The sequence below is a fragment of the Homo sapiens genome, chromosome 1 (assembly GCF_000001405.40).
Source record: "Homo sapiens chromosome 1, GRCh38.p14 Primary Assembly".
Taxonomy (NCBI): domain Eukaryota; kingdom Metazoa; phylum Chordata; class Mammalia; order Primates; family Hominidae; genus Homo; species Homo sapiens.
Genome location: NC_000001.11, coordinates 160473535 through 160496554, shown reverse-complemented (window position 1 = coordinate 160496554; position 23020 = coordinate 160473535). Strand labels below are relative to the sequence as shown.

At 42.0% G+C, this 23020-nt stretch overlaps 1 protein-coding gene across 6 annotated transcripts in view, besides 4 other annotated features; it reads left to right on the top strand.

Annotated features, from left to right (window-relative positions):
* SLAMF6 (SLAM family member 6) overlaps positions 1-11519 on the top strand; it is a 38220-nt gene extending 26701 nt beyond the window's left edge. For 2 of the 6 annotated variants that reach the window (NM_001184714.2, XM_047443866.1), the window contains exons 2-8: positions 162-494; positions 5167-5430; positions 5870-5980; positions 6319-6357; positions 7385-7467; positions 9380-9451; positions 9801-11519. In NM_001184714.2, the coding sequence (NP_001171643.1) occupies positions 162-494; positions 5167-5430; positions 5870-5980; positions 6319-6357; positions 7385-7467; positions 9380-9451; positions 9801-9848 (950 nt within the window). In that variant the 3' untranslated portion in view covers positions 9849-11519. The remainder of the gene's footprint in view (positions 1-161; positions 495-5166; positions 5431-5869; positions 5981-6318; positions 6358-7384; positions 7468-9379; positions 9452-9800) is intronic. The other 4 variants (NM_001184715.2, XM_017000216.2, NM_052931.5 and 1 more) reach the window with 4 other exon arrangements.
* Positions 4978-6177: an enhancer, noted in NCBI's record as "BRD4-independent group 4 enhancer chr1:160460168-160461367 (GRCh37/hg19 assembly coordinates)". NCBI's record gives its function as "activates an origin of replication core promoter dependent on BRD2, P300/CBP, MED14 and CDK7 cofactors, and independent of BRD4, by STARR-seq in HCT116 cells {active_cell/tissue: HCT116}" and the evidence as "EXISTENCE:reporter gene assay evidence [ECO:0000049][PMID:35650434]".
* Positions 6916-6975: an enhancer, noted in NCBI's record as "active region_1928". NCBI's record gives its function as "activates an Ori minimal core promoter by ATAC-STARR-seq in GM12878 lymphoblastoid cells {active_cell/tissue: GM12878}" and the evidence as "EXISTENCE:reporter gene assay evidence [ECO:0000049][PMID:35858748]".
* Positions 7086-7215: an enhancer, noted in NCBI's record as "active region_1927". NCBI's record gives its function as "activates an Ori minimal core promoter by ATAC-STARR-seq in GM12878 lymphoblastoid cells {active_cell/tissue: GM12878}" and the evidence as "EXISTENCE:reporter gene assay evidence [ECO:0000049][PMID:35858748]".
* Positions 22121-22310: an enhancer, noted in NCBI's record as "active region_1926". NCBI's record gives its function as "activates an Ori minimal core promoter by ATAC-STARR-seq in GM12878 lymphoblastoid cells {active_cell/tissue: GM12878}" and the evidence as "EXISTENCE:reporter gene assay evidence [ECO:0000049][PMID:35858748]".

The following is a 23020-nucleotide window of genomic DNA, read 5'->3' as shown; positions in this document are numbered from 1 at the left end:
TATTCATTTAGAAACATCTCCTACCCTTTCCTACTCTGTCATATCTCTGAGTTTTGGTATCAGAGAGCTCTAACAGACTGGCAGCGTTAGGTGAAAGGGTGCAGGACTTGGCAGGGAGATGGTCAGGAACATTTTTAAAACCTTTCCTTCTGTGTTTACAGGGAATGTAGTTTCACAAAGCAGCTTAACCCCATTGATGGTGAACGGGATTCTGGGGGAGTCAGTAACTCTTCCCCTGGAGTTTCCTGCAGGAGAGAAGGTCAACTTCATCACTTGGCTTTTCAATGAAACATCTCTTGCCTTCATAGTACCCCATGAAACCAAAAGTCCAGAAATCCACGTGACTAATCCGAAACAGGGAAAGCGACTGAACTTCACCCAGTCCTACTCCCTGCAACTCAGCAACCTGAAGATGGAAGACACAGGCTCTTACAGAGCCCAGATATCCACAAAGACCTCTGCAAAGCTGTCCAGTTACACTCTGAGGATATTAAGTAAGTCAAAATATGGGGTTTAATTCCATATGGACTGAAAAATATACATGTATTCCAATCCTATGTGACTTCAAATGTGCACTGTCGCCTAGTGGTAAAGAATATGGCATTTGGAGTCATTGAGTCAGTGTCAACACAATGACACTGCAAAGCCAGTTAATGACAGAGCTGAAGACAGAGCCTAAGTCTTGTGTCCCAGCCCAGAATTACTTCACTCCGATAAAATGGTCTTCTTCAACCAGAAATGTAGCAGAAGTAATGGAAGTCAAATATTTATGATAGTGTTGCCTTGTGCACTACATGTATTTGCCATGTAATTCTCACAAAGACTCCATGAGGTAGGTACAGACCTTATACCCTTGAGGCACAGCCTCAGTCACAGTGATTTGCCTACAAGTCACAGAGATAGTAATGGTAGCACTTCCCACATAACTACCTGCCACGACACCTCCCTTTTCACAAAGGCTAGTCTGACCCAGTAGAGTGGTCAGTGTACAGAACAGTGGTCTACCTAGAAAGTTATCTGCAAAGATAGGCTGATAATGAGAAACATCCTTTCTGTCAAGGTTATTTAATTTTTAACAATATTTTCCCCCGATGGCTCATATTAATCACCAGTCAACAATCTGCCTTCCCAAGATTAAAAAGAATGAAAATGTTATCAACATAAAATTATGGAAACTATAATGAGATTTCTTATGAGTCAATATCAGAAAAATACCTCTCTAGCAATCAGTGATATTCAGAGATGCCATTAATGGCTTTAGAATAATCACTTAGCAGGAGATTCAAGCATTAAATTGGCAATCAGACCAGAAAACATTAAAGGCCACGGAAATTCTGTAATTTTTATCCACTTGAGGGCCTGTAGTGTCTAAAATTCACTCAGAGTCCTTTGGGTTAAGACATGGTACTCAAAAAAGCACTGTTAAAATAAAAGGTCTCCACAGACAGATTACATGTTAACTTTTAGTATCCCCTGAATATCTGGTAGGTTTATCGTGTTAGATTAGTCAAAATCATGTTCTTGAAGAATAGAACACCAAACAGGTAAATGTAATGGGAAAGAGGTGATGTCTGGAAAACTTCTATACAAGCGATTCTAACTAAAAAGGAAAAATCACCCTGGGGCAATGTATTACTTTCCTGAGGCTGCTGAAATAGAAATACCATAAAGTAGGTGGCGTAACAGAAATTCATATTCTCTCACAGTTCTGGAGGCCAGAAGTCCAAAATCACAGTGTGGGCAGGGCTGTGCTCCCTCTGGAGGCTGTAGCGGGCAATCTGCTCTTTGCCTCTCCCAGCTTCTGGTTGCTGTCAACACTCCTTGGTTTTCTTTGGCTTGTGGCTGCATCACACCAATCTCTACCTCCATAGTCAGGTTGCCTCCTTCTTTTCTGTCTGTCTCAAACATCCTTTTGCTTTTCTCTTATGGGAACATTTGTCATTGGGTTTGGGGACTATCCAGGTTATACTGGATAATGTCATATAACATAATTCCATCTGCAAAGACCCTTTTTTTCCAATAAGGTAATATTCAGATTCTGGGAATTAGGGCGCAGACAGATCTTTTCTGAGGTCATTATTCAACCCACTACAGGCAGAATCACCCTGGGTGACCAGTAATTATCAAGGCAGTGTAGGACACTGGAGAGAAGAGAGACTCATCCAATGGAAAGCCTGAAATGGGTACCAGGCTTCATCACATTTGCTGAGATAATGTTCCTCTAACATTGTTGAGAAGACCAGGTATGACTTATCTTGTGACAGCCACCCTCTTGAGGCTCAATGCTGATCTCTTTCAGGGCTTTTTAGAGTGCCATCTCCTTCAAAGTCACATACACAGAGAACTGTGTAAGCTACACCAGGTAGTTTTACAATAGTGCAAAGGAATTTCAAGGTATAAGTTATATAGGTTTGATTTTTAACATTGATCAATCTCTTGGTATGTGCCAGGATATGAATGGCAAAGATTTGATTTTATGGGCCAATACCAATTAATTGGGAGTGACTGCTAACATGGTTTGGCTCTGTGTCCCCACCCAAATCTCATCTCGAATTGTAATCCCTACATGTCAAGGGAGGGACCTGGTGGGTGGTGATTTGATCATGTGGGAGGTTTCCCCCATGCTGTTCTCATGATAGTGAGCTCTCATGAAAGCTGATGGTATTAAGCGTGGCACTTCCTTGCCCTTTCTCTCTCTCTCCTGCTGCCATGCAAGACGTGACTTGCTTCCCCTTGCCCTTCCGTCATGATTGTAAGTTTCCTGAGGCCTCCCCAGCCATGTAGAACTGTGAGTCAATTAAACCTCTTTCATTTATAAAGTACCTAGTCTTGAGTAGTATCTTTATAGTATCGTGAAAACAAACTAATACAACTGCCTAGAGTTCAGTGTTAAGAAAATCTTGAAGCCATGATAGGTTTATTAATTGAGTCAACAATATTTGTTAGACATGGATAACGTCCAAGGCACTGTTATAGGCACCTGGAATACATCAGTGAGCAAAACAGACAAAGATCACTGTCCTCATGGAGCAGACATTCTGGAAGGGAAGTAGAGGAAGGTAACAAGCAATTCACATAACATATAAACAAGTGATACAGCATGTAAGAAAGCCCTGAATGGTATGAACAAAGGAGAGATTAGAACAGCATAAGAAGCATCAAGAGTGCCAGGGAGCAGGGGACAATTTTAAAAGAAGTGATCAGAACAGGCTTCATTGAAAAGATGACATTTGAGCCAAGACCTGTTGGAAGTGAGGAAGTGTGCCACGCAGATAACTGGAAGACACGCCATCCGCATAGATAGCAAGATCCCCTGTGCCTAGACTACTCAAGAAACACCAAGGAGGCCAAACGTCCAGGAGCAGAGTAAGGGGAAGGTAATAGAAAATGAGGCCAGAAAGGAAACAGGGGCCACATCGCAAAAGGACTGAGAGCCATCACAAAGACTTTGGCATCTACTCTCAGTGACACTGAAAACCATCAGAAGGTTTTGCAAACAAGTAATATGATTTGACTTACTTGTCTAAAGGATTCCTTTGGCTGATCTGTTGAGAGTAGAGTTCAAGGGGGAAGGGTAGAAGCCAATGGGCCAATTAGGAGACCATTGCAATAGTCCAAACAAGAGTTGATGCTAGCTTGGATCAGGGTGATAGCAGTGGAGATGGTGAGAAGTGGTTACATTTTGGACATATGTTGAAGGTAAAGCCACCAGGATTTCCTGATGTGGGAGTATGAGATGAAGATATGAATCAGCGATAACTCCAGAGGTTTTGGCCTCAGTGATAGGAAGGATGCAGTTGTCAACAAGTCAGATGGGTAAAACTGCAGGTTGAGAAGGTTTGGGAGAGAAAAACGGGAGTCCTTTAGACTATACCAAGTTTGAGATATACTTACACACTTATATACCTGTGGAAATGTCCTTACATATTCATTAAGTGGAAAAAGGTAACAAGATGGATTTTTTTTTCAGTTCAGCCATCAACACTGGATGAGGGAGATGTGATTTTCATGCCAAATATTTGCCATCCCTGTACTAGGCACTGTCTCATTTATTCCTCAAAATTACCTGAGAAGTGGGTATTATTACCTGGTCTTACAGATAAGGAAACTGAGGCTTGGATATAGCAATAATTTGTCCGTGGTCATGTAGCCAGTAAATTACAAAATTCAGGTCTTGACTCCAAATCCAACACTTTTCCCATACATGAATACTCTGTTCTGGCAATATTTCAGTACAGATACTCCACAACTCCTACTCAACTAAGCTCAAAGTACTACTCGGTCTCTTCTAATCAGAGAATTGGAGTCATTCTCTTCCTGGTTGGGTCATCTTTACTTCAAACCTCAGGCCAAGGCTAAGTCAGTGGCCTTTTCTGTCTTGCTCCCATGTTCCCATTGGTTCACAGTTACATCTTACTAGGCAATATTTCCTGGTCTTTGCTCTCAGAAATACCTACATCACATGTCATCTCACATGCCTAGATACGCCGCACTTCTTTGCTCCCCAGAATTGCTTGCTTGCTTTCTCACCTTATTCACTTCTTCCTTCCCCACTTCTTTGGTTCTCAGCATTTTCCTTTCTGTCTTGCTGACCTTCTACATCTGAGTCTCTTTCTCACTATTGGAGCCAGCTTTAGATACAATAGGAACCAGGATCCCCATAGATTCAAATTCCCCAAGGAAGTGATGCTTCCATCTTCCACCCCAATTAGGTAATTCTGATAGCAGAGGAAACAGGACTCTTCCACCTGGTCTCTTGGCTTCTCACATCACTGAGTTGCCCTCAGAGTTCTTGGCTTGGTCTCCAAATTGTCTTTACACAGGGGCAGAGTGCAAGGACTAGAAGGGAACCCAGGGATAAACTGGAGACCAGAAATATAAAATAACCACCCCAAAACTACCCAGCTAGTTGATGGAAACCTCAGTCTCTCCCTTCCCACTTCTTCTGCTGACTATCCTGCCCCATACTGATGTCCCGCATCATTTGGTCATCCCAGACCTTGCTACCATCAATTAGGCAATATAAGCAGAGTCATTTACAGAGTCTACAGACCATAACACACAGCAAAGGTGAAATACAAAACATTGAGGTGAAGGATATTTTTCACAGGGGGTTGAGCCAAGACATTTGTCCTTAATCTGGATCTTTTTTTTTTCTGCAAACAGGACAACTGAGGAACATACAAGTTACCAATCACAGTCAGCTATTTCAGAATATGACCTGTGAGCTCCATCTGACTTGCTCTGTGGAGGATGCAGATGACAATGTCTCATTCAGATGGGAGGCCTTGGGAAACACACTTTCAAGTCAGCCAAACCTCACTGTCTCCTGGGACCCCAGGATTTCCAGTGAACAGGACTACACCTGCATAGCAGAGAATGCTGTCAGTAATTTATCCTTCTCTGTCTCTGCCCAGAAGCTTTGCGAAGGTAACAGCCTGCCTCAGGTCTGAGAGCCTTGAGCAGCTATGGGGTTTAACGCGTCCTCACATCCTACGTAATTTCCAATACAGTGGCCCAGTGGGAGGCAGAAAATGCTGCTGGGAGGGGACAGATGCCCTCTGGAGCTCTGCATCTCTCAGTACTCCCAGAGGACTCTCCTTCCTTCCTCTCCATTCCCCAACCCCTCGTCCAACCTACTCAGAACCCAAAATCAAAGGCCTGGGAATGTAGGATTGCTTTCTCTCCCTAACTCCACTGGGCCCCACCCTCCCCTGCCTGCCACATAGGACTCCCACCCCAGAGCCTCCGGCTATAGACAAACTTACCTAGTCCCCAAAGATGGCCTAGAAGAGGCTCCACGGAGGCTCCAAGAACAGTGGGCCTCACTTGATGTGTCTCAAATGTCATTTCTTTTTTCTCTTTTCAGATGTTAAAATTCAATATACAGATACCAAAATGATTCTGTTTATGGTTTCTGGGATATGCATAGTCTTCGGTTTCATCATACTGCTGTTACTTGTTTTGAGGAAAAGAAGAGGCAGGTTTCCTTTCTTCCTACTTGTCTCTTCTCCAAGGTTCCAGTGATTGAGAGTTTGGGGCCTCTGATTCCCAAGGATCTCTTGTGGAAGACAGGAGGAGGGAGGGAGGCTGCAAACCCTGGCTCAGCTAGTCCACTGAGATAATCCCTGGGTGTGATCTTGCACCTGCTAATATCCTGAGAGAAATGTCCTACTGGGAAAAGTGGGACCCTGTCTCAGGGCTGCTTGCCCTTCCTTTTGGGTCCCCTCCCACCACATCCCAACACTCACGGGGTTAGGGGTGAAATGCCTCTCCCACTGCTGTCACACATTTCAATTTTCTGGTTTTATTTTTCAGATTCCCTATCTTTGTCTACTCAGCGAACACAGGGCCCCGGTGAGCATTCAGACTCTTAACTCTCCATCATAAAGCAGATGGGAAGAGCCAAATGGAAGAGAGAGGGGGATGGCAGAGGGCTGGATAATGACAGAGGAAGGAGTCAGAATGTCATTACTCAGACCACATGCTGTGAGGGGAGATGATCTGTAATCATGGGTCCTACATGGTTCACAGGCATAGGCATGTGAACCAGTCACTCACACAGTTTCTCTTGGTGATATCAGGTTCATTCACCACCCTGCTGATGGAGAAACTAAGTCCCAGTGAAAGGGATCATCCCTTGTCACCCAGCAAGTCCAGGGCACAGGCAGGATTAGAGCATCCAAGGCACAAAACCAAACTGTCTGACTGCATCATTACTGTTCAGCCAGGGTCTGGGCAATGGATAGACACAGTGGAAAGAGAAAACATGATATAGAAACACAAACACAGGCTCTGGACTCAGATTGGCTTTGGGTCTCATTTCATGCATGAGTGATGCATGACATCACTTGCAGAGGAAAAGGCATAAGGTTTGAAGTCAGAAGACGTGCATTTGAGTTGCTGTTTCATCACTGTCTGTATGGCTTTGCACAAGTCAGTTAAGTTTTCTGAGCCTCCAGTTCCTCATCTCCAAAATAATCAAATCCGCTGTAGAGACCTCTGAAAAGCTTAATAATATCCCAAATGTGAAATAACTGGCTCCATTATGTTTGCCAATGAGGTGTCTTTAGCCCTTCCATAGGCAGGGCTATTTGGTCCCAGGAGCTTCCTGACCCACATGTGAAGCCTGAGGGAGACTCTGAAGCTTTAGGGGACCTCAACACCACCTTCTACCCCAAGAGATGTGGTCAGAAATAGACCACATGACTGAGAAGGTTCACCCAGAGCTCCAAAGACTGTCAAGAACGAATGATCCCTCAGGAAAGGAGATGCTTCAAACACCTGCCTATCTGGGGACACAGTGTGCTCTGGGGAGGGAGAAGTCCTGGGAGAGAAGTCCCAGAGTCCTTGTGCCATTGACTGTGCCTTCCTATGTTAACAGCAGAGTCCGCAAGGAACCTAGAGTATGTTTCAGTGTCTCCAACGAACAACACTGTGTATGCTTCAGTCACTCATTCAAACAGGGTGAGTCTTTTCAGCTTTATATGCCATTGTTGTCAGTTTTACAGCCATTGTTCACAAACTTGTCACCATAACCATCTGACTGAACAAATGACCACTGAGGGGAGGAGAAGACAGCCACAGCGACAGGGGCTGCAAAGTTATGCGCTAGACCACTCTGGTGTCTGCCTTTCTCACCCTTAAGGGAATGTTTATTCATACCCTGCCTTACACAGTTCTCCAACCGCTTGATGCATCAGTAAGTCTTGTCCCTTCAGCTTAATTACAAGCTGACTGAAAGTACAAATTATGTCTTCCTCTCTCTTGCCCTATATCCTAGCATAATGATCAGTAAATACTTGCTGAATGGGTCAGAGTTCCACTAAGTTTGAAAGTTTCCTATGGACGTAGTTCCATAGCAGGTGGCTGACTTCTCACTCTGCATGTAGGGGTCTTAGGGGAGTTCAGAAGTAGTCTCTCAAGAGGGGAAGGGGGCACAGTAGAGGCCACTAAACCATGAGCAATGGTTCACCCCTCCCCTCTCATCTAGCAGCATAACAGGATGGCTGGTCAAGCATCAGCAACTCATCTGTCATGTATCAGCAACTCCCCACCACCCCTAAATAAAGGACCTGCAGGTGGCACATCTCTAAATAATACCATACATTTTGAGAGGCCAGTTTTCTGAAAAATAAGCCAGGAAAGCTTAGCATTTTCAAAATGATGTAAGCAATGATCTAGCTAGAAATCTTGGATTCCCTTCACCTATATTTGCAAAGTATGATCCTTGATGACAGGAAGCAAGAAGGGGTACTCTCACTTGCTCAGACATTTCTTTTGCCTTTGCAAATTCCTCCTGAAAACAAGTCAACTCACACTCTGACAAATCAAAAAACTAATTTCCCACAAATTGGTTAGCTTTCTCTTTAGCAAAAAGAAAAAAAAAATGTGCTTTGGAGAGTTTGAGGTTTTTTTGTTTTTTGTTGGTTTGTTTTTTGTTTTTTGGTTTTTTTTTTTTTTTGAGACAGAGTGTCACTCTGTCACCAAGGGCTGAGTGCAGTAGCACAATCACAGCTCACTGCAGCCTCAACCTCCTCATGCTCAGGTGATCCTTTTACCTTGGCCTCCCAAGTAGCTGCGACTACAGGCGAGCACCATCACATCAGGATAATTTTTCTACTTTTTGTAGAGACGGGGTTTCACCATGTTGCCCAGGCTGGTCTCAAACTTCTGCGCTCAAGTGATCCGCCTGCCTCGTCCTCCCAAAGTGTTGGGTTTACAGGCATGAGCCACTGTGCCCAGTAGAGATCTTGATAATTCTCTAAATACTTCTTCATTAATTTAAAGTGTCAAAATCTTTGAGTAGGTTCTTTGAGGGCCGTAGGGACTTCTGCTATTATTTCTGTAATGTGCATTCCAGGCAGAGCCATTCTTAAGGCCAAGTGTTCCTATTCTACCAATTCCCCATGCTTGAGAAGACCCCAATGACATGATGACAAGGCAGTTAGAATTATAGCAAAAGATGGAGCAGGCAAAATGGGTAGTTTCAGTCATAGCTAGTAAAAATTTGAGACAAAACATATAATAAACTATCTGGTATATAAGTTTTTTCTTAAAAATGGAGGAAGGAAAGTAGAGCTGGACAAAGGACAAGAATACTTCCTTCCCTTCATACAGCAAGGCTGCCTTTCTCTGGCTCTTGAGCCCATTGGTTTGCTGCAGTGTTGCTGTTCTGTTTGGGGCTCAGGAAATGCCACTAAATCCTCACAAGTTTGATAGCTAGTCGTGCTTGGTCTTCCACTGAACATTCCCCAGCCTTCCTCTGGAAGAACTTTGACATATTCTCTTTTTTGTCACACAGTCTTTCCTAAGAATATATCTATGCATTAATCTCTTTGTCTCTGTGTAAGCCAAATTGGTATGATTCTTTTTACAGGAAACAGAAATCTGGACACCTAGAGAAAATGATACTATCACAATTTACTCCACAATTAATCATTCCAAAGAGGTAAGCCCACGATTGCTCCATGTTTTTATATTCTTACCTCTCTCCACAGACCTATGATTTTTCAAATAAAGTAAAAATAAAAGGGTCATTTTACAGATGCACAAACAGCAGCAGCATGCGGAAAGTCTCAGGACATCACCAAAACATAATCAAGAAGTTATTTTGTATTAGGATCACCATGCATAACTGAGTTTTCAATTACATGTTTTTAAATTTAATCCTGCCCTATGCTATCAATATCTCTATTATCTGCCTCTCTGTAGTCTCCAGTCCTCTCTCTGTAGTTATGAGGGGTGGGCTGAGGTTCCAGTTCCAATTAACCTACCTCATCTTCCTCTTTTTCCCACAGAGTAAACCCACTTTTTCCAGGGCAACTGCCCTTGACAATGTCGTGTAAGTTGCTGAAAGGCCTCAGAGGAATTCGGGAATGACACGTCTTCTGATCCCATGAGACAGAACAAAGAACAGGAAGCTTGGTTCCTGTTGTTCCTGGCAACAGAATTTGAATATCTAGGATAGGATGATCACCTCCAGTCCTTCGGACTTAAACCTGCCTACCTGAGTCAAACACCTAAGGATAACATCATTTCCAGCATGTGGTTCAAATAATATTTTCCAATCCACTTCAGGCCAAAACATGCTAAAGATAACACACCAGCACATTGACTCTCTCTTTGATAACTAAGCAAATGGAATTATGGTTGACAGAGAGTTTATGATCCAGAAGACAACCACTTCTCTCCTTTTAGAAAGCAGCAGGATTGACTTATTGAGAAATAATGCAGTGTGTTGGTTACATGTGTAGTCTCTGGAGTTGGATGGGCCCATCCTGATACAAGTTGAGCATCCCTTGTCTGAAATGCTTGGGATTAGAAATGTTTCAGATTTCAATTTTTTTTCAGATTTTGGAATATTTGCATTATATTTAGCGGTTGAGTATCCAAATCCAAAAATCCAAAATTCAAAATGCTCCAATAAGCATTTCCCTTGAGTTTCATTGATGTCGATGCAGTGCTCAAAATCTCAGATTTTGGAGCATTTTGGATATTGGATTTTTGGATTTGGGATGCTCAACTTGTACAATGTTTATTAGACACATCTCCTGGGACATACTGCCTAACCTTTTGGAGCCTTAGTCTCCCAGACTGAAAAAGGAAGAGGATGGTATTACATCAGCTCCATTGTTTGAGCCAAGAATCTAAGTCATCCCTGACTCCAGTGTCTTTGTCACCAGGCCCTTTGGACTCTACCTCAGAAATATTTCTTGGACCTTCCACTTCTCCTCCAACTCCTTGACCACCATCCTGTATCCAACCATCACCACCTCTAACCTGAATCCTACCTTAAGATCAGAACAGTTGTCCTCACTTTTGTTCTTGTCCCTCTCCAACCCACTCTCCACAAGATGGCCAGAGTAATGTTTTTAATATAAATTGGATCCTTCAGTTTCCTGCTTAAAACCCTGCAGGTTTCCCAATGCACTCAGAAAGAAATCCAGTTTCCATGGCCCTGGATGGTCTGGCCCACCTCCAGCCTCAGCTAGCATTACCCTTCTGACACTCTCTATGTAGCCTCCCTGATCTTCTTTCAGCTCCTCTATTAAAGGAAAAGTTCTTTATGTTAATTATTTACATCTTCCTGCAGGCCCTTCCTCTGCCTGCTGGGGTCCTCCTATTCTTTAGGTTTAATTTTAAATATGTCACCTCCTAAGAGAAACCTTCCCAGACCACTCTTTCTAAAATGAATCTTCTAGGCTGGGCATGGTGGCTCACACCTGTAATCCCTGTACTTTGGGAGGCCAAGGGGGGAGATCACTTGAGGTCAGGAGTTCAAGACCAGCCTGGCCAACTTGGTGAAACCCCGTCTTTACTAAAAATACAAAAAAATTAGCCAGGCGTGGTGGTGCACCCCTAAAATCCCAGCTACTTGAGAGACTGAGGCAGGAGAATCGCTTGAACCCAGGAGGTGGAGGTTCCAGTGAGCCAAAATCATGCCAATGTATTCCAGTCTGGGTGACAGAGTGAGACTCTGTCTCAAAAAATAAATAAATAAAATAAAATGAAATAGATCTTATTATTCTGTTACACCTTCTATGTCATTTATCATATCATTAAATATTTATTTTTACTTTTTTAACATCTATTTCTCCCACTATACCCTAAGCTCTTCAGAAACAGAGACAATAACTGTTTTGTTTATCACCGTAACCCTAGCACCTAACACAGTATCTAGCATATAGCAAGTGTTCAAAAAAATTTTTTAATAAATAAATGAATATGTAATGGGGTTTTGTGAAAATGAAATAAGACAATACACCTGGAGTCCTTAGCATAGCTCTCAGCCACATAAAGGAGCTCAATAAATGTCAGTCAGCATTGTTGGTATAATTACTGATACAATTAGTATAAATTAATAATAGTAAAAATTAATTATTACTGAATTACACAGAATCATCTCACAAACCTTCAGCACAACAAGACGTGACAGAGATCAGCTCTCAAGACCACAGGATTCAAAGGGAAGGGGTTGGAGAGTTGGAATGGGGAAAAACTGAAATAATGGCTGAAAAGAATAGAAAAAAACAAAGCTCATCAAAGTTAATTAATCTCAAATACCAGCCATCAATTACAGTATTAGTCAGTGGAGTAGGACAAGATAGGGAAGCTTAATCAAGAAGAAGGAAGAGTTTCCAAGGAATAGGTTCTGGGTTCATGGAGACTTCAAAGAAAAGAGTAAAAAGAGGGTTACTGCCATGTTCGTGCAACATGACCTGAAGCTCAGGAAATCTCACTGGGCAGGTAAGAGAGTGCTTTCCTTTCAAGGGGACCCAAAAAAAAAAAAAAAAAAAAAAAAAAAAAAATATATATATATATATATATATATATATATATAAAGCTTTTTTTGTGTGTGTGGAAACTTTGAAGAATTCCAAGGTTCTTCAGAGAGGGAAAAGGAATAATCTGTAAAGTCAGTGCAGATAGAAAAATATTTGCAACATCTAGGGTGCCCAAAACCAGCAAGAAAATTAGGGGATATGTCATGGAAGGCACAACTAATCCATCTAGTCAGAAATCTACCAGAATCTACCCTGAATCTGGACTGCACTGGGGAGGATCACAAACAAAACAAAAACTAAGGGCGTATCTATAGACATCTAAGAGGTGAGTAAGAAAAGAACTCATAAGAAAGCTAAGCTCACTTGTCTTTATAGACCAGCTACTAAAACATAGAATTCCTGATGTTATATTTCTTTCAATCTCTTCAACCTTCTCCCTTTTTATCATAAATACCACACTCTCTTCTCTTGGCTTCTGTGACACTACATTCCCCGAGTTTTACTCCTTCCTTCCTAGCTGCTTCTCAGGCTCTTTGCAGATCCACTGCCTCCTCCACAGGACCAGTAAAGACTGAAGCTAAGGCTCACATGTGGGTCCCATTCACTTCTCCATCTAAGTACTCTTCTTATCTGATGTCAGCCATTCCTATTGCCTTAATAGCCTTTATAAGCTAATGGTTCCCAAACACATCTTTAGTCCTGACCTCCTGGCTTACCTCATTAACTGCCTACTTGGCATCACCATTTGCATATCTGGTAGATATATCAAAGTTTTTTAAAAAATAAAAACTCTTGGGCAGATGTGGTGGCTCATGCCTGTAATCCCAGCACTTTGGGAGGCCGAGGCAGGTGGCTCACTTGAAGTCAGGAGTTCGAGACCAGTCTGGCCAACATGGTGAAACCCGGTCTCTACTAAAAATACAAAAATTAGCCGGGTGTGATGTTGGGTGCCTGTAATCCCAGGTACTCAGGAGGCTGAGGCAGGAGAATCACTTGAAACCAGGAGGCGGAGGTTGCAGTGAGCCAAGATCATGCCACTGCACTCCAGCCTGGGCAACAGAGTGAGACTCTGTCAAAAAAAAAAAATCAAACCTCTTGATTTCTCTTATCAAGCCTTTTCTTCTACTATGCTTTTTCATATCAGTAAATGGTATCATTGTTATGGGACACTCTTGAACAGATCTCCTTTACAAAACTGAAAACTACCCAGTACTCACCATATAACTAATCATTTTTGTTTTCTTGTGGGAAACAAATGGATTTAATCAACAAAAACCTAATCTATTGTTCTAAAGTTAAATACATTAAGACCCAGATGCCCCATTCCTAAAAGATGAATCATGCATTTTGCAAGCAGGGAAGAAAACATGCAATGCTTATAAAATTCCTACCAAAAAACAAACTTTCTTTGCCCAGGAGGTAAGCTTGTTCTTTAATATTTTTATTGTAGAATTAAGGAAATGGTAGCCCCATTAAACTACTTTGAATAAGGTAAGATGGCTGTGATTGGCTATCCTGGAAAGGTAATAAAAGGGAATAGAAATACTCTTCCCACTCTGCCAGCCCCCAGTCATTCCCACTAGGAGGTCACAAAGTGTTGACAAGGCCTACAAGACCCCTACTCACATCTCTACTCCTTCTTTCACAGCATTCCAGCCACACTGTTCTTTATTCAGCTCCTAGAATAATCTAGACTCTCCTTCCTACTTCTGTGCCTTATGGATACTGGGACCACATCCCTATGAGGCAACAATTAGCTGGTGCTGAGTAGCCTCTGTTCTATTCTAAATGGGGCTTGCACTTCACATTTCACTCCTGGCCTGCCCTGCCTGCTTCACTCACTTAAGATACCTACCTAGTACTGAAAATAGTTAAGTTTCCAACCTCTTACCTACACCATGAAGCTTTGCCCCACATCATGTTGGTCAAAAGAGCACATTAACTAGTCCCAAAATAACAATGTCTGATCTCACTTGTCCACACCCCATCCCACCCTCAAGCCAACACCTGAACCCCGTGTAGCTTTAGGACACTTACTTGAAGCTTTCATCATTTAGCCTCCCTCAGGGTTCAGTGTATACTTTGATATGAGGAAGCAGGGCCACAGCTAGATGCAGAACAGAGAGAAGGCTACCCTGTCCAAGGTCACTGGATAGACATTTCACCCTGAGTTTCAAGTTGATGAAAAGAATGGACTAAGAAGTGACTTCTCAAATGGGGAGGGAGCAAGTCTGACCCCCTGAATTTCCCCTTCCCAGAGGCCATCTAAAAGCACTCTCTGTGGGAAGAAAGGAAGGGGACATCATCACTGACCTTTTACTACCAGACGACTAGAATGGCCACATCCAAAGCTTTTGCTTCCTCACCCCTAGCCCACTCTTCTGAAGCTGCATTCTTGAAGGATACCAACCTCTAGAGGCAGGGATCTTTTCTCTGCATTCTGGTGCTCTCTGCAGCATTTGACATTACACAATCCCCCCATCACCCTTGAGGTTTCCCTCCTTTTAATGCCCATTAAGTCACCTCATCCTACTTTTGTCTTTCTGTCTCCTCCTTACCTCTCCTTAGCTTGGTTTCTCTTATTATTTATGTCCCATAATTAGATTTGTTTCCCTAGGTTCTGCTGACTGGATATTTTCCTGGATGTCTCGTAATCACCTTAAATTCTGTTTTTCATTCTCCCTTTGACTTCTAATGACCCAAGGAAAGTAGAACATCCCTCTCAGGATCCAACAACAATCCAAAACACAAGGTGAATTCATGGCAACTTAAAACACAAGGTGAATTCATGGCAATTTAAGACACAGGAGGAAATAGAGGGGCAGCCAAGATGGCCGAATAGGAACAGCTCCAGTCTACAGCTCACAGCGTGAGCAATGCAGAAGACAGGTGATTTCTGCATTTCCAACTGAGGTACCGGGTTCATCTCACTGGGTAGTGCTGGACAGTGGGTGCAGGACAGTGGGTGCAGCGCACCGTGCATGAGCCAAAGCAGGGCGAGGCATGGCCTCACCCAGGAAGTACAAGGGGTCAGGGAATTCCCTTTCCTAGTCAAAGAAAGGGGTGACAGACGGCACCTGGAAAATCGGGTCACTCCCACCCTAATACTGCACTTTTCCAACGGGCTTAACAAACCGCACACCAGGAGATTATATCCCACACATGGTTTGGACGGTCCTACGCCCACAGAGCCTCACTCATTGCTATCACAGCAGTCTGAGATCAAACTGCAAGGTGGCAGTAAGGCTGGGGGAGGTGTGCCCACCATTGCCGAGGCTTGAGTAAGTAAACAAAGCAGCCAGGAAGCTCGAACTGGGTGGAGCCCACCACAGCTCAAAAAGGCCTGCCTGCCTCTGTAGGCTCCACCTCTGGGGGCATGGCACAGACAAACAAAAGGCAGCAGTAACCTCTGCAGACTTAAATGTCCCTGTCTGACAGCTTTGAAGAGAATAGTGGTTCTCCCAGCATGCAGCGTGTGATCTGAAAACAGGCAGACTGCCTCCTCAAGTGGGTCCCTGACCCCTGAGTAGCCTAACTGGGAGGCACTCCCCCAGTAGGGGCAGACTGACACCTCACACGGCTGGGTACTCCTCTAACACAAAACTTTCAGAGGAACAATCAAGCAGCAGCAATTGCGGTTCACCAATATCTGCTGTTCTGCAGCCACCACTGCTGATACCCAGGAAAACAGGGTCTGGAGTGGACCTCCAGCAAACTCCAACAGACCTGCAGCTGAGGGTCCTGACTGTTAGAAGGAAAACTAACAAACAGAAAGGACATCCACACCAAAAACCCATCTGTACATCACCATCATCAAAGACCAAAGGTAGATAAAACCACAAAGATGGGGAAAAAACAGAGCAGAAAAACTGGAAACTCTAAAAATCAGAGTGCCTCTCCTCATCCAAAGGAACACAGCTCCTCACCAGCAATGGAACAAAGCTGGATGGAGAATGACTTTGATGAGTGGAGAGAAGAAGGCTTCAGAAAATCAAACTCCTCCAAGCTAAAGGAGGAAGTTCGAACCAATGGCAAAGAAGTTAAAAACCTTGAAAAAAATTAGTCGAATGGCTAACTAGAATAACCAATGCAGAGAAGTCCTTAAAGGACCTGATGGAGCTGAAAACCATGGCACGAGAACTATGTAACGAATGCACAAGCCTCAGTAGCCGATGCGATCAACTGGAAGAAAGGGTGTCAGCGATGGAAGATGAAATGAATAAAATGAAGCAAGAAGAGAAGTTTAGAGAAAAAAGAATAGAAAGAAATGAACAAAGCCTCCAAGAAATATGGGACTATGTGAAAAGACCAAATCTACGTCTCATTGGTGTACCTGAAAGTGATGGGGAGAATGGAACCAAGTTGGAAAAGGCTCTGCAGGATATTATCCAGGAGAACTTCCCCAACCTAGTAAGGGAGGCTAACATTCAAATTCAGGAAATACAGAGAATGCCACAAAGATACTCCTCAAGAAAAGCAACTCCAAGACACGTAATTGTCAGATTCACCAAAGTTGAAATGAAGGAAAAAATGTTAAGGGCAGCCAAAGAGAAAGGTCGGGTTACCCACAAAGGGAAGCCCATCAGACTAACAGCTGATCTCTCGGCAGAAACTCTACAAGCCAGAGAGAGTGGAGACCAATATTCAACATTCTTAAAGAAAAGAATTACAACCCAGAATTTCATATCCAGCCAAACTAAGCTTCATAAGTGAAGGAGAAATAAAATACTTTACAGACAAGCAAATGCTGAGAAATTTTGTCACCAACAGGCCTGCCCTAAAAGAGCTCCTGAAGGAAGCACTAAACATGGAAAGGAACAACCGGTACCAGCCACTGCAAAAACATGCCAAATTGTAAAGACCCTCGATGCTAGGAAGAAACTGCATCAACTAACGAGCAAAATAACCAGCTAGCATCATAATGACAGGATCAAATTCACACATAACAATACTAACCCTAAATGTAAATGGGCTAAATGCTCCAATTAAAAGACACAGACTGGCAAATTGGATAAAGAGTCAAGAGCCATCAGTGTGCTGTATTCAGGAAACGCATCTCACGTGCACAGACACACATAGTCTCAAAAAAAGGGATGGAGGAAGATCTACCAAGCAAATAGAAAACAAAAAAAGGCAGGGGTTGCAATCGTAGTCTCAGATAAAACAGACTTTAAACCAACAAAGATCAAAAGAGACAAAGAAGGACATTACAAAATGGTAAAGGGATCAATTCAACAAGAAGAGCTAACTATCCTAAATATATATGCACCCAATACAGGAGCACCCAGATTCATAAAGGAAGTCCTGAGTGACCTATAAAGAGACTTAGACTCCCACACAATAATAATGGGAGACTTTAACACCCCACTGTCAACATTAGACAGATCAACGAGACAGAAAGTTAACAAGGATACCCAGGAATTGAACTCAGCTCTGCACCAAGCAGACCTAATAGACATCTACAGAACTCTCCACTGCAAATCAACACAATATACATTTTTTTCAGCACCACACCACACCTATTCCAAAATCGGCCACATAGTTGGAAGTAAAGCTCTCCTCAGCAAATGTAAAAGAATAGAAATTATAACAAACTGTCTCTCAGACAACAGTGCAATCAAACTAGAACTCAGGATTAAGAAACTCACTCAAAACCACTCAATTACATGGAAACTGAACAACCTCCTCCTGAATGACTACTGAGTACATAACGAAATGAAGGCAGAAATAAAGATGTTCTTTGAAACCAACGAGAACAAAAACACAACATACCAGAATCTCTGCAACACATTCAACGCAGTGTGTAGAGGGAAATTTATAGCACTAAATGCCCACAAGAGAAAGCAGGAAAGATCCAAAATTGACACCCTAACATCACAATTAAAAGAACTAGAAAAGCAAGAGCAAACACATTCAAAAGCTAGCAGAAGGCAAGAAATAACTAAAGTCAGAGCAGAACTGAAGGAAATAGAGACACAAAAAACCCTTCAAAAAATTAATGAATCCAGGAGCTGGTTTTTTGAAAGGATCAACAAAATTGATATACCTCTAGCAAGACTAATAAAGAAGAAAAGAGAGAAGAATCAAATAGATGCAACAAAAAATGATAAAGGGGATATCACCACTGATCCCACAGAAATACAAACTACCATCAGAGATACTACAAACACCTCTACGCAAATAAACTAGAAAATCTAGAAGAAATGGATAAATTCCTCGACACATACACTCTCCCAAGACTAAACCAGGAAGAAGTTGAATCTCTGAATAGAACAATAACAGGATCTGAAATTGTGGCAATAATCAATAGCTTACCAATGAAAAAGAGTCCAGGACCAGATGGATTCACAGCCAAATTCTACCAGAGGTACAAGGAGGAACTGGTACCATTCCTTCTGAAACTATTCCAATCAATACAAAAAGAGGAAATCCTCCCTAACTCATTTTATGAGGCCAGCGTCATCCTGATACCAAAGCCAGGCAGAGACACAACCAAAAAAGAGAATTTTAGACCAATATCCTTGATGAACATTGATGCAAAAATCCTCAATAAAATACTGGCAAACTGAATCCAGTAGCACATCAAAAAGCTTATCCACCATGATCAAGTGGGCTTCATCCCTGGGATGCAAGGCAGGTTCAATATACGCAAATCAATAAATGTAATCCAGCATATAAACAGAACCAAAGACAAAAATCACATGATTATCTCAATAGATGCAGAAAAGGCCTTTGACAAAATTCAACAACGCTTAGTGCTAAAAACTCTCAATAAATTAGGTATTGATGAGACGTATCTCAAAATAATAAGAGCTATCTATGACAAACCCACAGCCAGTATCATACTGAATGGGAAAAAAACTGGAAGCATTCCCTTTGAAAACTGGCACAAGACAGGGATGCCCTCTCTCACCACTCCTATTCAACATAGTGTTGGAAGTTCTGGCCAGGGCAATTAGGCAGGAGAAGGAAATAAAGGGTATTCAATTAGGAAAAGAGGAAGTCAAATTGTTCGTTTGCAGATGACATGATTCTATATCTAGAAAACCCCATTGTCTCAGCCCAAAATCTCCTTAAGCTGATAAGCAACTTCGGCAAAGTCTCAGGATACAAAATCAATGTACAGAAATCACAAGCATTCTTATACACCAATAACAGACAAACAGAGAGCCAAATCATGAGTGAACTCCCATTCACAATTGCTTCAAAGAGAATAAAATACTTAGGAATACAACTTACAAGGGACATGAAGGACCTCTTCAAGGAGAACTACAAACCACTGCTCAATGAAATAAAAGAGGATAGAAAGAAATGGAAGAACATTCCATGCTCATGGGTAGGAAGAATCAATATCGTGAAAATGGCCATACTGCCCAAGGTAATTTATAGATTCAATGCCATCCCCATCAAGCTACCAATGACTTTCTTCACAGAATTGGAAAAAACTACTTTAAAGTTCATATGGAACCAAAAAAGAGCCCGCATCACCAAGTCAATCCTAAGCCAAAAGAACAAAGCTGGAGGCATCACGCTACCTGACTTCAAACTATACTACAAGGCTACAGTAACCAAAACAGCATGGTACTGGTAGCAAAACAGAGATATAAATCAATGGAACAGAACAGAGCCCTCAGAAATAACGCCGCATATCTACAACTATCTGATCTTTGACAAACCTGAGAAAAACAAGCAATGGGGAAAGGATTCCCTATTTAATAAATGGTGCTGGGAAAACTGGCTAGCCATATGTAGAAAGCTGAAACTGGATCACTTCCTTACACCTTATACAAAAATTAATTCAAGATGGATTAAAGACTTAAATGTTAGACCTAAAACCATAAAAACCCTAGAAGAAAACCTAGGCATTACCATTCACAACATAGGCATGGGCAAGGACTTCATGTATAAAACACCAAAAGCAATGGCAACAAAAGCCAAAATTGACAAATGGGATCTAATTAAACTAAAGAGCTTCTGCACAGCAAAAGAAACTACCATCAGAGTGAACAGGCAACCCACAAAATGGGAGAAAATTTTCGCAACCTACTCACCTGACAAAGGGCTAATATCCAGAATCTACAATGAACTCAAACAAATTTACAAGAAAAAAACAAACAACCCCATCAAAAAGTGGGTGAAGGACATGAACAGACACTTCTCAAAAGAAGACATTTATGCAGCCAAAAAACACATGAAAAAATGCTCATCATCACTGGCCATCAGAGAAATGAAAATCAAAACCACAATGAGATACCATCTCACACCAGTTAGAATGGCAATCATTAAAAAGTCAGGAAACAACAGGTGCTGGAGAGGATGTGGAGAAATAGGAACACTTTTACACTGTTGGTGGGGCTGTAAACTAGTTCAGCCATTGTGGAAGTCAGTGCGGCAATTCCTCAGGGATCTAGAACTAGAAATACCATTTGACCCAGCCATCCCATTACTGGGTATATACCCAAAGGACTATAATTCATGCTGCTATAAAGACACATGCACATGTATGTTTATTGCGGCACTATTCACAATAGCAAAGACTTGGAACCAACTGAAATGTCCAACAATGATGGACTGGATTAAGAAAATGTGGCACATATACACCATGGAATACTATCCAGCCATAAAAAATGATGAGTTCATGTCCTTTGTAGGGACATGGATGAAATTGGAAATCATCATTCTCAGTAAACTGTCACAAGAACAAAAAACCAAACACCGCATATTCTCACTCAAAGGTGGGAATTGAACAATGAGAACACATGGACACAGGAAGGGGAACATCACACTCTGGGGACTGTTGTGGGGTGGGGGGAGGGGGGAGGGATAGCATTGGGAGATATACCTAATGCTAAATAACGAGTTAATGGGTGCAGCACACCAGCATGGCACATGTATACATATGTAACAAACCTGCACGTTGTGCACATGTACCCTAGAGCTTAAAGTATACTAATAATTAAAAAAAAAAAGAAATAGAACATCTATTAAACTATATTTCCTAGACTTATAAAGCTAGGACAATGCCTCTGTTTTTGTTCCTCAGCTTTTTGTTGGGCAGAAATAGCTTTGAAGGAGGCAGAGCTGGATTTAATCAGTGTTAGCATTTCAGAAATAGAATTCATCTTTCAGAAATATAATCCACAGGCATTGGTGACTTGACTGCATATAGGAGATGAGGAAGAGGGACTATGATGAGTTAAAAGTGTCTTAGTGGTAGACTGAAATTCAAAAATGAAGAAGGAAGTTTGGAGAGGAAGATAACTAATTCAGTCTTGAATGAATTTAAGCTGCCTGAAAATCATCCAAGGGCAACTTGGTAGGCAGTCAGAAACACAGGACTGAAGCAATGGAGCATAGTTGGGGATGGAGACACAGATTTGGAAGCCACATGCATTTGGGTGGAAGTTGAAGCCATGAGATTAGTGAGATCACCCAGGAAGTGTGTGAACTGTGAAAAGAGAGGACATGTAGGGAGCTCCAGGCAATTACCACTGAGAAGCAGAATCCAAGAGATGACAAAAAAGAGGGGGTGAGGTGGGGGCAGGAACTGATAGAGAGGTAGGAAAACCAACAGATCCCAGGGTCATAACATCTCAAAAAAAAAAAAATTTTTTTCATGAAAGTGGAAGTGATGACAAATTCTGTATAAAACTTCAGATCCATTTTTGGTAACTAGAAGGTCATGCATGACCATAAGATGAGCAATTTTAACCTTGAATCTCATGTTACAAGATTGTACCACCACTACTCTTCCTGTTGCAGTCATCTGTTATCCTCAGGGCACCACTTCCTATTCCTTGAAGAGTTTAGCTTCTGGTTGGCTCTTACATTCTTCGACACCACTCCATAATTCTTTCCATGCAGATGATCTTTCCATTAGCCCAGCTTTTCTGATCCTTGACCTCCTCTCCTCCAATGATGCTGTAGCCTCTACTTTTTTTAATCCTTTAGCCTTTCAGCCTTTCACTTCCATAGTCATACCCTAGTACCAAAAGCTATAACCCTTCTATAATCTTAATTTCAAGCACCCCATTGTCTCTAATCACTACCTTATATCTTTTTTTTCATTTCCTCTTGTGCCCCAACTCCAACAATCCTTTAACTTCCATCCTCTGGCCTACAATCCATTGATCCAAGCACTTTTCACTATCCTTCACACCCCTTGTGCCATCACTTTCCTCCTTATTCAGCTTAAATAAAAGTCATTCTCACCACTTTCTTTCATACAAAGCAGTTGATTCCGTTGTCCCTCAACTTTATGTTGTAACTGCCAGGCCTAATAATAATAATAATAATAATAATAATAATAATAATAATAATAAGTTAATACTACTTAAATCCAACTGTTTGGCTCAATCATGCCTGAATTTGCATAACTAAAGGTAGTCAGAGAAAAGCATACAACCATGTTGACTAGTCTTACTGAAAGTTATGATCCATAATCTCAATGATGACAGATAATTATACTTTATTTCCTTAGTTCATTCTCTCACTCCCCAAGACAACTAGGAGATGAGGGCAGAGAGGTAATGAGAGCATGAACCTTCCAATACTTCTACCCCCATCCTAGCTCCCAGTTTCCTTATTGATAAAATAGAAGCCATCTGAAGAATATTTCTATGCACTTCCACCATAACATTTACCACCTGCCTACCTCTATACCCTACCCTGTCTTCTCTTCTGTTACTGTGGATGAATTAACTGTGCTTCTAGTAAAGGACAATTCCTCTACT